The sequence below is a fragment of the Homo sapiens genome, chromosome Y, assembly GCF_000001405.40.
Source record: "Homo sapiens chromosome Y, GRCh38.p14 Primary Assembly".
Classification (NCBI taxonomy): Eukaryota; Metazoa; Chordata; class Mammalia; order Primates; family Hominidae; genus Homo; species Homo sapiens.
In genome coordinates, this window is record NC_000024.10 from 2,425,753 (window position 1) to 2,439,491 (window position 13,739).

The 13,739-nt window shown below is 45.2% G+C and overlaps 1 protein-coding gene across 1 annotated transcript in view; it reads right to left on the bottom strand.

Moving 5' to 3' along the window:
* DHRSX (dehydrogenase/reductase X-linked) overlaps positions 1–13,739 on the bottom strand; it is a 281,471-nt gene that overhangs the window by 206,247 nt on the left and 61,485 nt on the right. The gene's annotated exons all lie outside the window — the stretch shown is intronic.

A 13,739-nucleotide genomic window follows, 5' to 3' on the forward strand; every position in this document is an offset into this window, starting at 1 on the left:
AAGCAAGTGGTTTGTTACTCACAGGTCCCAAGAGGAGGGGCGTGTTGACACCACTCAGGACCACACAGGGGCGCACCAAGTTTGGTCAGGTGGGAAGACAAAGGAGACCAGAGCTCTCACTGTGGTTTCCAAGGGAAGGAACAGGCGAGTAGGCTTACAGTTGGCTAGTGTGAATGATTTCAGCAGGCTCTGGGGCATAGGGGCTGTCCCTGACTCTCTGGTACCTGGCTTTGGGGTGGTTAGGGCAGGTGGAGAGTGACGTGGAATATGCAACCCCAATAAAGGAGATGGCTGGGGGGTGGATTCTGGATTGATGGGTTTGCATATGAAAGACAGGTTCATAGGTGGGCTCTTCACCACCTCTGGGGATTCGCTAGCTATGGGAGGGGCAGGGTCTCTAGGGTTGACAAGGCCATGAAAGTCATGCATCAGAACACAGAAAATAAAAGACTTGGTTAATACAGTTTGCTTCATAGCTGCTGGTATCACACGTGCAGATAGCATCTCACTTGAATTTCTGGTTAAGACGAGTGATCCACATTTTGAGGGAGATTTGTATTTCTTTTTCTTCCTTCCACTTGTCCTCCCTTCCTTCTCTCCATCTTTCCTTCCTTCCTTCCCTCTTTCCTTCCTTCCTCCTTCCTTCTCTTTTTCCTTTCTTCCTTCATTCCTTCCTTCCTTCATTCTTTCCTTCCCTCCCTCTTTCCTTCCCTCCCTCCTTCCTTCCTTCCCTCCCTCTTTCCTTTCTTCATTCCTTCCTTCCCTCCCTTTTTCCTTCCTTCCTCCTTCCTTCTTTCCTTCCTTCCTTCCCTCTTTCTTTTCTTCATTCCTTCCTTCCCTCCCTCTTTCCTTCTTTCCTTTCCTCTTTCCCTCCTTTCTTCTTTACTTCCTTGTCTCACTCCTTCTTTCTTCTTTTCCTTTTTCCTTCCCTCCCTTTCCTTCCTTTCTCCTTCCATCCTTTCCTCTTCACTTCTTTCTCTCACTTTTTCCTTCCTTCCTTCCCTTCCCTTCCTTTCCTCTTTACTTCCTTCTCTCACTCTTTCCTTCCTTCTTTCCCTCTTTCCTTCCCTCCCTCTTTCCTTTCTTTCCTCCCTCTTTCCTTCCTTTCTTCCTCCTTCCTTCTGTCCATCTTCTAACCCTTCCCTCCTTCTTTTATAAAATATGTGTAGAGCCCACACTCTGTGCCCAGCATACAGGGAAATGAATTAGACAAAGATAAACATGTTGTCTGCCTCAAGGACATTTGGTTCCCCTGGGAAAGATACCAACCACTCTAAATACACAGATGTGTCTGGCAATAATGCAGAACTTTCCAGATCTCACATCTTCCAGTTATGAATGAACTTCAAAGGAAGAAGAGGAAAGGGAGAAGCAGTGATTCTGGACGGAGGGTTAGAGAACAATCTTCCAAGGAGGGGCTCCTGAGCTGATGTTGTGACGGTGAGAGCAAAAGTCTAGCAGGCCTGGGATATTCCAGGAAGAGGAAGGCGGCTGGCTGGCTAGCTGGAGCCAAGCACATGGAAGGAGGGAAGAGAGGAGGGAAGAAGGAGTAGGGGCACCCCAGAGTTCGTGAGCTTCTCTCTGGCAGACAGGGCGTCATCACGGGGCTCTGAGCCAATCTGTGATATGTTTCACAGGAAGGAATAGATTCATGGAGAATCCACTTGAGCTGGAGGAAGACAAGGCTATCAAGGGTCTCCTGAAGCAGCTGCAGGGACTGACGGGGGAGCTCCGCCACAGTTCAGCACAGGTGGTATGAGAGGTGCTGGATTCAGAATATGTCTCACAGGTACTGGCCACAGGGGTGCTGGTGGGAGTCAGACTTCTCGCGTTCAAAATAAAAAGAAATCACAAGACAAGGACAGAGAGGGGGACATGATGAGGCAAGAATGACTCCTTGTACTGGGGGCTGAGAAAATTCAAGGAGGGAATTTCCATGAATTCCCTTGAGAAAGAAAGACTGAGGGAAAAGTGGATTTTGCAGGCAGGTAGTCAGGAAAGTCCCTTTCTGTGAATTATTATAGGCACATATGATCTTTTTCAAGTTAGGAGATTATTTTGTTCAACATATTTGGAATGTTCTTTATTAAAATATAAAGCCTAAGTGTCCACCATCAGACAATTTGATTTTTTAAAATATGGCACATATATACCATGGAATACTACACAGCCATGAAAAGGAATGATGTTGTGTCTTTTGCAGCAACACGAAGGGAACTGGAGGCCATTATCCTAAGTGAAATGGCTCAGAAACAGAAAGTCAAGTACCACATGTTATCCCTTATAAGCGGGAATTAAATAATGTGTACACGTCGACATAGAGCATAAAAAATAGACATCGAGGACTCAGAAGTCTCACAGGGTGGGATGGGATGAGGGATGAGAAATTACCTATTGGCTACCATGTACGTTATTTGAGTGATGGCCTCACTAACAGCCCAAACATTACCACTATGCAATATATTCATGTAACACAAGTGTACTCATACCCACAAAATCTATAAAAATACAAAGGTAATTTAAATAGAAATAGGTTTATAAATCATTCCACTATAACGACACACACACGTATGTTTATTGCAGCACTGTTCACAATAGTAAAGACTTGGAACCAACCCAAATGCCCATCAACGATAGACTGAATAAAGAAAATGTGGCACATGGACACCATGGAATACTATGCAGCCATAAAAAAGGATGGGTTCATGTCCTTTGCAGGGACATGGATGAAGCTGGAAACCATCCTTCTCAGCGAACTAACACAAGAACAGAAAACCAAACACCACATGTTCTCACTCACAAGTGGGAGTTGAACAATGAGAACACATGGAAACAGGGAGGGGAACATCACACACCAGGGCCTGTCAGGAGGTGAGGGACTAGGGGAGGGAGAGCATTAGGACAAACACCTAATGTAGATGATGGGTTGATGGGTGCAGCAAACCACCATGGCACGTGTATACCTATGTAACAAACCTGCACGTTCTGCACATGTACCCCAGAACTTAAAGTATAATAAAATAAAATAAAACAATAAAGCCTATGCTGCTTTTCCATTTCACCTTTCCAAGTATAAAATGTTGTGTCTCCTCTCCCCCCAAAATAATTCCTATGTTGAGAACATACAATCGCCAGGGTGATGGTATCAGGAGGTGGGGCCTGTGGAGGAGGCTTCAACATATAATCTGTTATTTGTCAGCCCGTACATTTCGTTGTCAGTATTGTGCGAACAATCCTCTTGGTGTGTAAGACTTTCATTTTGTTTTTCTTGATACACGCATGAATCGATGAAAAGGTATGTTCACTTAGAAAATTGCCGAATAAGTTTTCCATATGCTTAGGTTTTCTGGTGTATCCCTCGTAACCTGAAGATAGAACCTGTACAATGACATTCCCGTGTTCCTGACCCAAGCTGAGGGACTTGCAAATACTATATGTAGTATCAGTAGATGTATTGATGTTCTTAATTTACTAAGTTTATTTTAAAAATAGGAATGTATTATTAAATTGTAATTACAGACACACAGTATGCATATATACTGTGTATGTATACATGTGTGTCTGTGTGTGGGTGTGTCTGTGTGTGTACATACATATTTCTCAGCCCCAATGCCAACTTCCTAGTCAATAAAGAAATCTCTAAAATCTTCCAGCTAAACTTGGAAAAGCAGCAAGTATCCATCCTGTTCTCTGTGATGCTTTTTTTTTTTTTTGAGCTGGGGTCTTACTACATTGCCCAGGCTGCAGTGCAGTGGTGCAATCATGGCTCGCTGAAGCCTCGACCTCCTGGACTCAAATGATCCTCCTGCCTCAGCCTCCCAAGTAGCTGGGACTACAGGTGTGAGCCACCACACTTGGCTAATTTTTTTTACTATTTTTTTTTTGTAAAGATGGGGTCTTGCTGTGTTGCCCAGACCGGTCTTGATCTCCGGGGCTCAAGTCATCCTCCCACCCCGGCCTCCCAAAGAGCTGGATTCCAGGAGTGCACCCTGTCATTTAACATGCTACTGGAGATCTTATCCAACATGGTCAGACAAATAATTACAACAGACACAAGAACGGCAGAGGGAGAGTCAAAATATACTTTGCAGATGATATGATGGTATGCCAGGAAAAAACTAACAAAATCAACATTAAATAAATCCAAGAAGAGAATTCAGGAAGGTAGTCAGATAGAAAACTCAGAAGCAAATATCAATAGCTTCCATACATACACAAACAATTGGCAGGTTAAAAAGGTAGGGGAAGAGACAGTCCTGCTTATAATATAGAAACAACAGCAACACTGAAATGAGACTTGGTCATCGAGAGTGTGCAAAACCTATATCAGGAAACCTAAAGACATAAAAGTAGAGTTGAGGCCATGGAAAGATGCCCTCGGGTCTCGGTGAGGATGTCATGCCACATGGTTTTGGAGGTGCCCGTGGGGTCTTCCCTGAAAACGCACAGTGAGCCGTGATTGTGCCACTGCACCGCAGCCTGGGCAAGGTAGCGAGACCCCAGCTCAAAAAAAAAAAAAAAAGCATCACAGATTGCAGAATGGACCCTTGCTGCATTTGTAACTTTAGCTAGAAGAGTTTAGTGTTTTCCTTACGGACCAGGAAGCTGGCATTGGGGCTGAGAAGTATGTATGTACCCACACAGACACCCCCGCACACAACAGGTTGCAACAATCGCCTGACACCAGCCACCCGGTGCCTCTGCAGATGGGGAACATGTTTCGCAAGATCGGGCTTCCTCAGGGTTTTGGGTTTTCACAGCCAATGACTCGGCATGACCAGAGAACTGGCTGGACGCTCCTTCTACCCAATTCCTCGCCGTCTCTTTCTTCACAGGTGTGAGGCACCTACACCATCACCTGCAAGCCTTCCTCCACTCTTCTGCCAGCGCCTGTTTGACCCTTCACACACAGTTCCCCTAGTAAATCTCTGGCCCATCATGTTCCTTCTTGGTGTGTGCTTCTCCAAAGACCCAAATGGGTCAGGCGCAGTGGCTCATGCCTGTAATCCCAGCACTTTGGGAAGCCAAGGCAGGCAGATCGCTTGAGCCCAGGAGTTCAAGACCAGCCTGGGCAACATAGTGAAGCCCCATTGCTACAAAACAAAAAAAAAGGTACAAAAAAATTAGCCAGGCATGGTGGCACACGGCTGTCATCTCAGCTACCCGGGAGGCTGAGTTCAGAGGATCACGCAAGACTGGGAGGTTGAGGCTGTAGTGAGCTCCGATCATACCACTGCACTCCAGCCTGGGTGACAGAGCAAGACTGTCTCAAAACAAAACAAAAAAAAGACGGCCGGGCACGGTGGCTCATGCCTGTAATCCCAGCACTTTGGGAGGCCGAGGCGGGTGGATCACGAGGTCAGGAGATCGACACCATCCTGGCTAACACGGTGAAACCCGGTCTCTACTAAAAATACAAAAAATTAGCCTGGCGTGGTGGCGGGCGCCTGTAGTCCCAGCTACTCGGAAGGCTGAGGCAGGAGAATGGCGTGAACCTGGGAGGTAGAGCTTGCAGTGAGCCGAGATTGTGCCACTGCACTCCAGCCTGGGCGACAGAGCTAGACTCCATCTCACAAAAAAAAAAAAAAAGACAAAAAAAACCCCCAAACTTTGTCCAATCCGGAGTTGACAGACACCTAAGTTTGATTCCATGTCTTTGCTTTTATGAATAGTGCTGCGATGAACACACAGTACGTGTGTCTTTTTGGTAGAATGACTTACTTTCCCTTGGGTAGATACCCAGTAATGGGATTGCTGGCTCAAATGTTAATTCAATTCTTAGGAAGACATGGTGCATCTATACCATGGAATACTATGCACCCATTAAAAAGAATGAAATCATGTCCTTTGCAGCAATATAGATGCAAGAGGAGGCCATTCTCCTATGTGAATTAACACAGAACCAGGAAACTAAATATCAGACGTTCTCACTTCTTACTGGGAGGTAAACATCAAGTACAGATGGACATAAAGATGGGAACAATAAACACTGAGCAATTCAATGGGGCAAGGAAGGGATGGGGCAAGGGTTGGAAAACTATTGAGTGCTGTGCTGACTACCTGGGTGACGGGATCCTTGTGCTCCAAACCTCAACATCACACAATATACCCAGGGAACAAACCTGCACATGTACCCCCGAACCTAAAATAGAAGTTGAGGCCAGATGCGGTGGCTCACACCTGTCATCCCAGCACTTTGGGAGGCCGAGACGGGTGGATCACGAGGTCAGGAGTTCAAGACCAGCCTGGCCAACATGGTGAAACCGCATCTCTACTAAAAATACAAAATTTAGCTGGGCGTGGTGGTGTGTGCCACCTGTAATCCCAGCGACTCGGGAGGCTGAGGCAGGAGGATCGCTTGAACCCGGGAGGTGGAGCTTGCAGTGAGCTGAGATCACGCCAGTGCACTCCAGCCAGGGCGACAGAGCCAGACTCCGTCTCAAAAAAAAAATTTTTTTTAATTTAAAAAATAAAATAGAAGTTGGAGGGGGAAAAAAAATCTAAACTGATACAATCCTAAAGGTGTCAGAATGACCCAAGTCAATATGCAAATTTGATGTGATCCAATAAAGATAGTTCACAGAATTTCTTTTAGGCAAACTGGACGAATCGATTCGAAAATTGCTGTGGGGAAAAGAATTCCAAATGAGGCGGCAAAGAGGAAAATTCTGATATGTACAAAGATTGAGAACACAATGGCCCTGTAGGAGATTAAAACATTTGAGAAGCTTCTATAATTAAACGGGAGGTACTACAGGCATTAATGGAGGAAGGAACAGGGTACAATTTCCAAAAATAGGCCAACTGCATGTGGAAATTGAGTACACGACAAAAGGGGCAAAAGATGGGCGTTTTAATAAACCGTGTTGGGGCACGTGAAGCCACATTAGGAAACAGATAAAATTAGTGCCAGACCTCATAGCATGCATGAGTGAACTCCAAGGCAAAAACAAAGTTAAACCATGAGAAGATTGCAAGAAAGCAGGAATCATTAGTTTAACCTCCACAGAAAGAAAATGCTTCCTAAACGAAAATTCAGAAAGATGGTTAGATAGATTTCACTATTTAAAAAACTACTTGTTTAAAAAACAGGCCGGGCAGTGGCTCATGCCTGTAATCCCAGCACTTTGAGGGCTGAGGTGGGGGTATCGCTTGAGGCCAAAAGCTCAGGACCAGCCTGGGAAACAGAGAGAGGCCTCATCTCTACAAAAAATTTAAAAAATTAACCGGGTGTGGCGGTGCGTGCCTGTAGTTCCAGCAAGCTGGGAGGCTGAGATGGGAGGATCACTTGAGCCCAAGGGATGGAGGTTGCAGTGAGCCAAGATCGTGCCACTGCACTCCAGGAGGAACAAGACACTATCTCAAAAAAAAAATCACATGGTAAAAAACAAAACAAATCTCCATAAGCAAAGTAAAAAATAAATAATGAGCTGGAAGAAAATTTGCAACTTCCATCAGAAATATTAACAGCTATTTTTCAGATATCTAAAAAGTTCAACTCCAGAAAAACCCCAAACATGCTACAAAGAAAAGGGCAAAAATAAGAGTTTATATACAGAACAGGCTCAAATGGCCCTCAACACATATGTTCTCCTTTATATCTAATAACAGACATCCTAATTCAGACCATATTGAAATACTATTTCTTTTTTTTTTAAAGTTCTGGGATACATGTGTAGAACGCGCAGGTTTGTTACATAGGTATACATGTGCCACGGTGGTTTGCTGCACCCATCAACCCATCATCTAGCTTTTAAGCCCTGCATGCATTAGGTATTTGTCCTAATGCGCTCCCTCTCCTTGTTCCCCAGCCCCCAGCAGGTTCTGGTGTGTGATGTCCCCCTCCCTGCGTCCCTGTGTTCTCACTGTTCAGCTCCTACTTGTAAGTGAGAACATGTGGTGTTTGGTTTTCTGTTCCTGCGTTATTAGGCTGAGAATGATGCCTTCCAGCTTCATCCATGTCCCTGCAAAGGACATGAACTCATCCTTTTTATGGCTGCGTAGTATTCCATGGTGTATTTTTCTAACCTTTTCTTTTTTGAGATGGAGTCTCGCTCTGTCGCCCAGGCTGGAATGCAGTGGCGCAATATCAGCTCAATGCAAGCTCCACCTCCCGGGTTCACGCCGTTCTCTCACCTCAGCCTCCCGAGTAGCTGGGACTACAGGCGCCCGCCACCACGCCCGGCTAATTTTGTTTTTGTATTTTTAGTAGAGACAGGGTTTCACTGTGTTAGCCAGGATGGTCTCGATCTCCTGATCTCGTGATCCGCCCGCCTCGGCCTCCCAAAGTGCTGGGATTACAGGCGTGAGCCACCGCGCCCGGTCTATAAAGAGCTCTTCTAACCAAACCCCAGTCCCTCCACAAATGGGTAAAGGAAATGAATATGCAATTTGGAGATATGAAATAAAACATAAGCATATGAAACAAAGTTCAGTCTCGCTGACAATGAAATAATGAATAAAGCAATTGTGAGCTTTCATCAATCACATGGAATAGGTTAAAAAGTAGGGTTGTTATCCAGAATGCGTATGCCTTGGAGAAGTTAGAAGTTTACATACTCAGTTCAAATGTACCCACCAAGACTGCATTTTCTTAGGAGATAAGTTGACAATGACTCCTGAAAGGTGACAGGCAGCCAGGCCTGGTAGCTTATGCCTGTAATCCCAACACTTTGAGAGGCCAAGGTGGGAGGATCAGCGGAGGCTAGGAGCACGAGGCCCAGCCTGGGCAACATAGCAAGACCCTACCTCTACAAAAATAAAAATAAATTAGCCAGACGTGGTGATGCTCGCCTGTAGTCCCAGCTACCCTGGAGGCTGAAATGGGAGGATCACTGGAGCCCAGGAGGTCGAGGCTGCGGCAAGCTATGATTGCACCACTGCACTCCAGCCTGGGTGACAGAGCAAGACGCTGTCTCTTTAAAATAAAGAAAAGAAAATTTACATGCATTTTCTTTTTGGCTCAGCTATTCCACTTCCAAGAATTACTTGCACAGATACACTCCCACACATATGCTAAGATATACGAGAAAACCATTCATGGCTGCCTTGTTTAGAATCAAAAACCATTTAGTTTCATCGCCATTTTATAAAAGACTTTTTGCAGGTGTTACTTAAAAAGAAACATCTTATTGTTCTTAGCAACAACTTGGATGGCTCTCCAGGGAATTCTATTGAGTGAAGGAAAAAAAGACACACGTGATTTGAAAGGGGTTACACTCTGTATGACTCCATTTATATGACATTCTTGACATGAGAAAAGGTACAGAAATAGAGAACAGACTAGTAATTCTCAGGGGTTCAGGACAGGAGAGGAGGTTGAGGTAGGATGCAGGTTGGTACAGAAATAGAGAACAGACTAGTAATTCTCAGGGGTTCAGGACGGGAGAGGAGGTTGAGGTAGGATGCAGAGAGAGAAACAGGAGGGGTTGTTGGTGAAAGAAATGCTCTGTGTGTTGCGGACAATGCTGGCTTCACAAACCTGCACGCACTATGAAATTGCACAGAACTCGGTACAAAAACCCACACGGATACGAGTAAAACATAAGATCAATGCATTATTGCCTGAATGTGAATATCCTCCTTGTGACATGGTATTATTGCTTTCCAAGATGTTACCACTGGGGGAAGTAGACACAAGATTCTTTCCTATTATTTCTTACAACTGCTTATAAATCTACAATGATCTCAAAGTAAAAACCTTAATTGGAAAAAAAAAAAAAAAGTCTAGGCAGGAAGCAGTGGGTCACACCTGTAATCCCAACACTTTAGGAGGTCAGGGTGAGACAATCACTTGAGGCCAGGAGTTTGAGATCAGCTTGGGCAACATAGCAAGACCCCATCTCTACAAAGAAATTTAAAACTTAGCCAGGCATGGTGGCTTGCATGTGTAGTCCCAGGTACGTGGGAGGCTGAGATGGGAGGATTGTTTGAGCCCAGGACTTGAAGGCTGCAGTGAGCTATGATTGCATTACTGCACTCCAGCCTGGGCAACAGAGCAAGATCCTGTCTCTAAAAATAAATGAATAGATAAGTAAGTAAATAAATAAATCTATGCTTACGCCATATGATATTTCATTCTTAAAAAACAGGAAAAACAAAAGTCCTATCCTTCTTGATCCTAGTACAGTTGTTTTGAAAATATCTATATGTTTCATGGGGGCTGGGCGCAGTGGCTCACGCCTGTAATCCCAGCACTTTGGGAGGCCGAGGCAGGCGGATCACGAGGTCAGGAGTTTGAGACCAGCCCAATCAACATGGTGAAACCCCGTCTGTACTAAAAGTACAAAAATTAGCCGGGCATGGTAGCACGCACCTGTAATCCCAGCTACTCGGGAAGCTGAGGCAGGAGAATCACTTGAACCCGGGAGGCAGAGGTAGCAGTGAGCCGAGATCACACCACTGCACTCCAGCCTGGGTGACAGAGGGAGACTCCATCTCAGAAAAATAATAACAACAAAAATAAATAAATAAATAATAAAACAAAACTAAAAAAATAAAAACTATGTGTTTTATGATTCCCGTTTGAACTGCTGATCTTCCCACACCCTGGTCCCTTCATCTAACACTGAGGGCTGGAGACACAGTGAGTTTTGTCTACTGTCATGAGCTTCAGGGCATGGCAGGTACAGGTGTTGAGTTTTTGTTGTTTTATCATGAGGTTGGTGCAAAAGTTAATGGCAAAAGCAGCAATTACTTTTGCAGCAACATATTATTATTATTATTATTATTATTATTATTATTATTACTACTACTACTACTGATAGGGTCTTGCTCTGTCACCCCGGCTGGAGTGCAGTGGTGAAAACACAGCTCACTGCAGCCTCAAACTCCCAGACTTAAGCAATCCTCCTGCCTCAGCCTCCTAGGCAGCTGGGACTACAGGCACGTGCCAGCACATCTGCCAGTTTTTTTTTTAATCTTTTGTAGAGACAGGGTCTTGCTCCATTGTTCAGGCTGATCTCAAACTCCTGTTTTCAAGTGATCCTCCTGCCTCAGTCCCCCAAGTAGCTGGAACTACAGGTGTGTGCCACCATGCCCCACTAATTTATTTTTATTTTTGTAGAGATGGGGTCTCACTATGTTGGCCGAGCTGATCTCAAACTCCTGGCCTCAAGTGATCCTCCCACCTTGGCCTCCCGACGTGTTGCAATTATAGGCATGAACAGGCTACAGACCCCACCGTCATCTCCTCCATCAAAGAGGTTCCTGAACTTTACTTTCATGTTTGGTATACACTGCCTTGAATCCTTTCTCTTTTTTTGAGACCGAGTCTCGCTCTGTTGCCCAGGCTGGAGTGCAGTGGTGCAATCTCGGCTCACTGCAAGCTCTGCCTCCTGGGTTCATGCCATTCTCTTGCCTCAGCCTCCCGAGTAGCTGGGATTACAGGTGCCCGCCACCACACCTGACTAATTTTTTTTGCATCTTTAGTAGAGATGGAGTTTCACCGTGTTAGCCAGGATGGTCTCGATCTCCTGACCTCGTGATCCGCCCACCTCAGCCTCCCAAAGTGCTGGGATTACAGGTGTGAGCCACCATGCCCGGACACAAGGTCATATTGAAAAGATGCTCAGCCGAGTCTGGTGGCTCATGTCTGTAATCCCAGCACTTTGGGAGGCCGAGGTAGAAAAATCACTAGGTCAGAAGTTCAAGACCAGCCTGACCAACATAGTGAAACCCCGTCTCTACTAAAAATACAAAAATTATCCAGGTGTGATGGTGTGCCCATGTGGTCCCAGCTACTCAGGAGGCTGAGGTGGGAGGATTGCTTGAGCCTGGGAGAGCAAGGCTGCAGTGAGCCATGTTCATATCAGTGCACTCCAGCCTAGGTGACAGAGCAAGACCCTGTCTCAAAAAAAAAAGAAGAAGAAAAAAAAGCATCATTTCATTGTTGATATACCATTGTTTCCTAAGAGAGACAGAGAGAGAGAGAGAGAGAGAGAGAGAGTGTGTGTGTGTGTGTGTGTGTGTGTGTGTGTGTGTCACAGTCCTCAAATTTGGGAGAGTAAAGTGAAGATGACCAGCAGCCAAAAACCCAACAAAGCTGGTCCCAGGAACACATTTTCCTGATATGCAGTGTAACTTAGGTTCTTATAGAAGAAAGACCGTGTCACTCAACCACCATAATTAAGAACCTTCAGAGTCCAATTCATGAAAACTCACCGGCAGAACAATATGTGGCAACCATTCTAAGCGAACCTCAGATGAAGCACCTTGAAGGCTTCACGAGCCTGTGTGCTATTGGATAACCATGGGGAAAAAAAAAAAACTGAATTCTGGCCGGGCGCGGTGGCTCATGCCTGTAATCCCAGCACTTTGGGAGGCCGAGGCAGGAGAATCGCTTGAACCCGGGAGGTGGGCATTGCAGTGAGCCGAGATCATGCCACTGCACTCTAGCCTGGGTGACAGAGCGAGACTCCATCTCAGAAAAAAAAAAAAAAAACCTGAATGGTCATTCATTTTAGGAACAGAATGATCTAGGAGTATTGGACTGCAGAGGAGAGGGAGGGAGAGAGCAGCTGGAGCTTCATATAGTTACACATTACAGAATGCATACACACACACACACACACACATATATATGCATTCATCTTAAAGTAAGATTGACAGCAAAGCATCAATAAAGACTGCAAACCGGCCACGTGCAGTGGCTTCACGCCTGTAATCCCAGCACTTTGGGAGGCTAAGGTGGGCTGATCACCTGAGGTCAGAAGTTTGAGACCAGCCTGACTAACATGGTGAAACCCCATCTCTACTAAAAATTAAAAAATTAGCCGGGCGAGATGGCTGGCGCCTGTAATCCTGCCTCAGGAGGGTGAGGCAGGAGAATCGCTTGAACCCAGGAGGCGGACATTGCGGTGAGCCGAGATCACGCCACTGCACTCCAGCCTGGGGGACAGAGCAAGACTCCATCTCAAAATAAAAAAAAAAAAAATGGTCGTTCATTTCAGGAACAGAATGATCTAGGAGAGTACTGGACTGCAGAGGAGAGGGAAGGAGAGAGCAGGTGGAGCTTCATATATTCACACATTACAGAATGTATACACATACATATATATGCATTCGTCTTAAAGTAAGATTGACAGCAAAGCATCAACAAAGACCTGCAAACTGGCCAGTTGTGGTGGCTCACACCTGTAATCCCAACACTTTGAGAGGCCGAGGTGGGTGGATCATGAGGTCAGGAGTTCAAGACCAGCCTGGCCAACATGGTAAAACCCTGTCTCTACTAAAAACACAAAAATTAGCCCAGCGTGGTGGCTGGCGCCTGTAGTCCCAGCTACTCAGGAGGCTGGGGCAGGAGAATTTTTTGAACCCAGGAGGTGGAGGTTGCAGTGAGCTCAGATCATGCCATTGCACTCCAGCCTGGGTGACAAGAGCGAGACTTTTTTGTCTCAAAAAAAAAAAAGCTTAAAAAATAAAAACAGCTTAAAAATAAAGTAAAATAACATAAAAGCTTAAAATATAAAATAAAATTTAAGAGGTCATTCATTTCAGGAAAAGACTGATCTACGAGAATTGGACTGCAGAGGAAAGAGAGGGAGAGAGCAGCTGGAGCTTCATATATTCACACATTACAGAATGTATATACATATATATACGCATTCATCTTAAAGTAAGAGTGACAGCAAAGCATCAATAAAGACCTTCAATCCATACTCTGACAAGTTCCTTTGTCCAGTGGTCCTCAAGCTTTTTGGCACCAGGAACCAGTTTCATGGAAGACCATTTTTCCACTG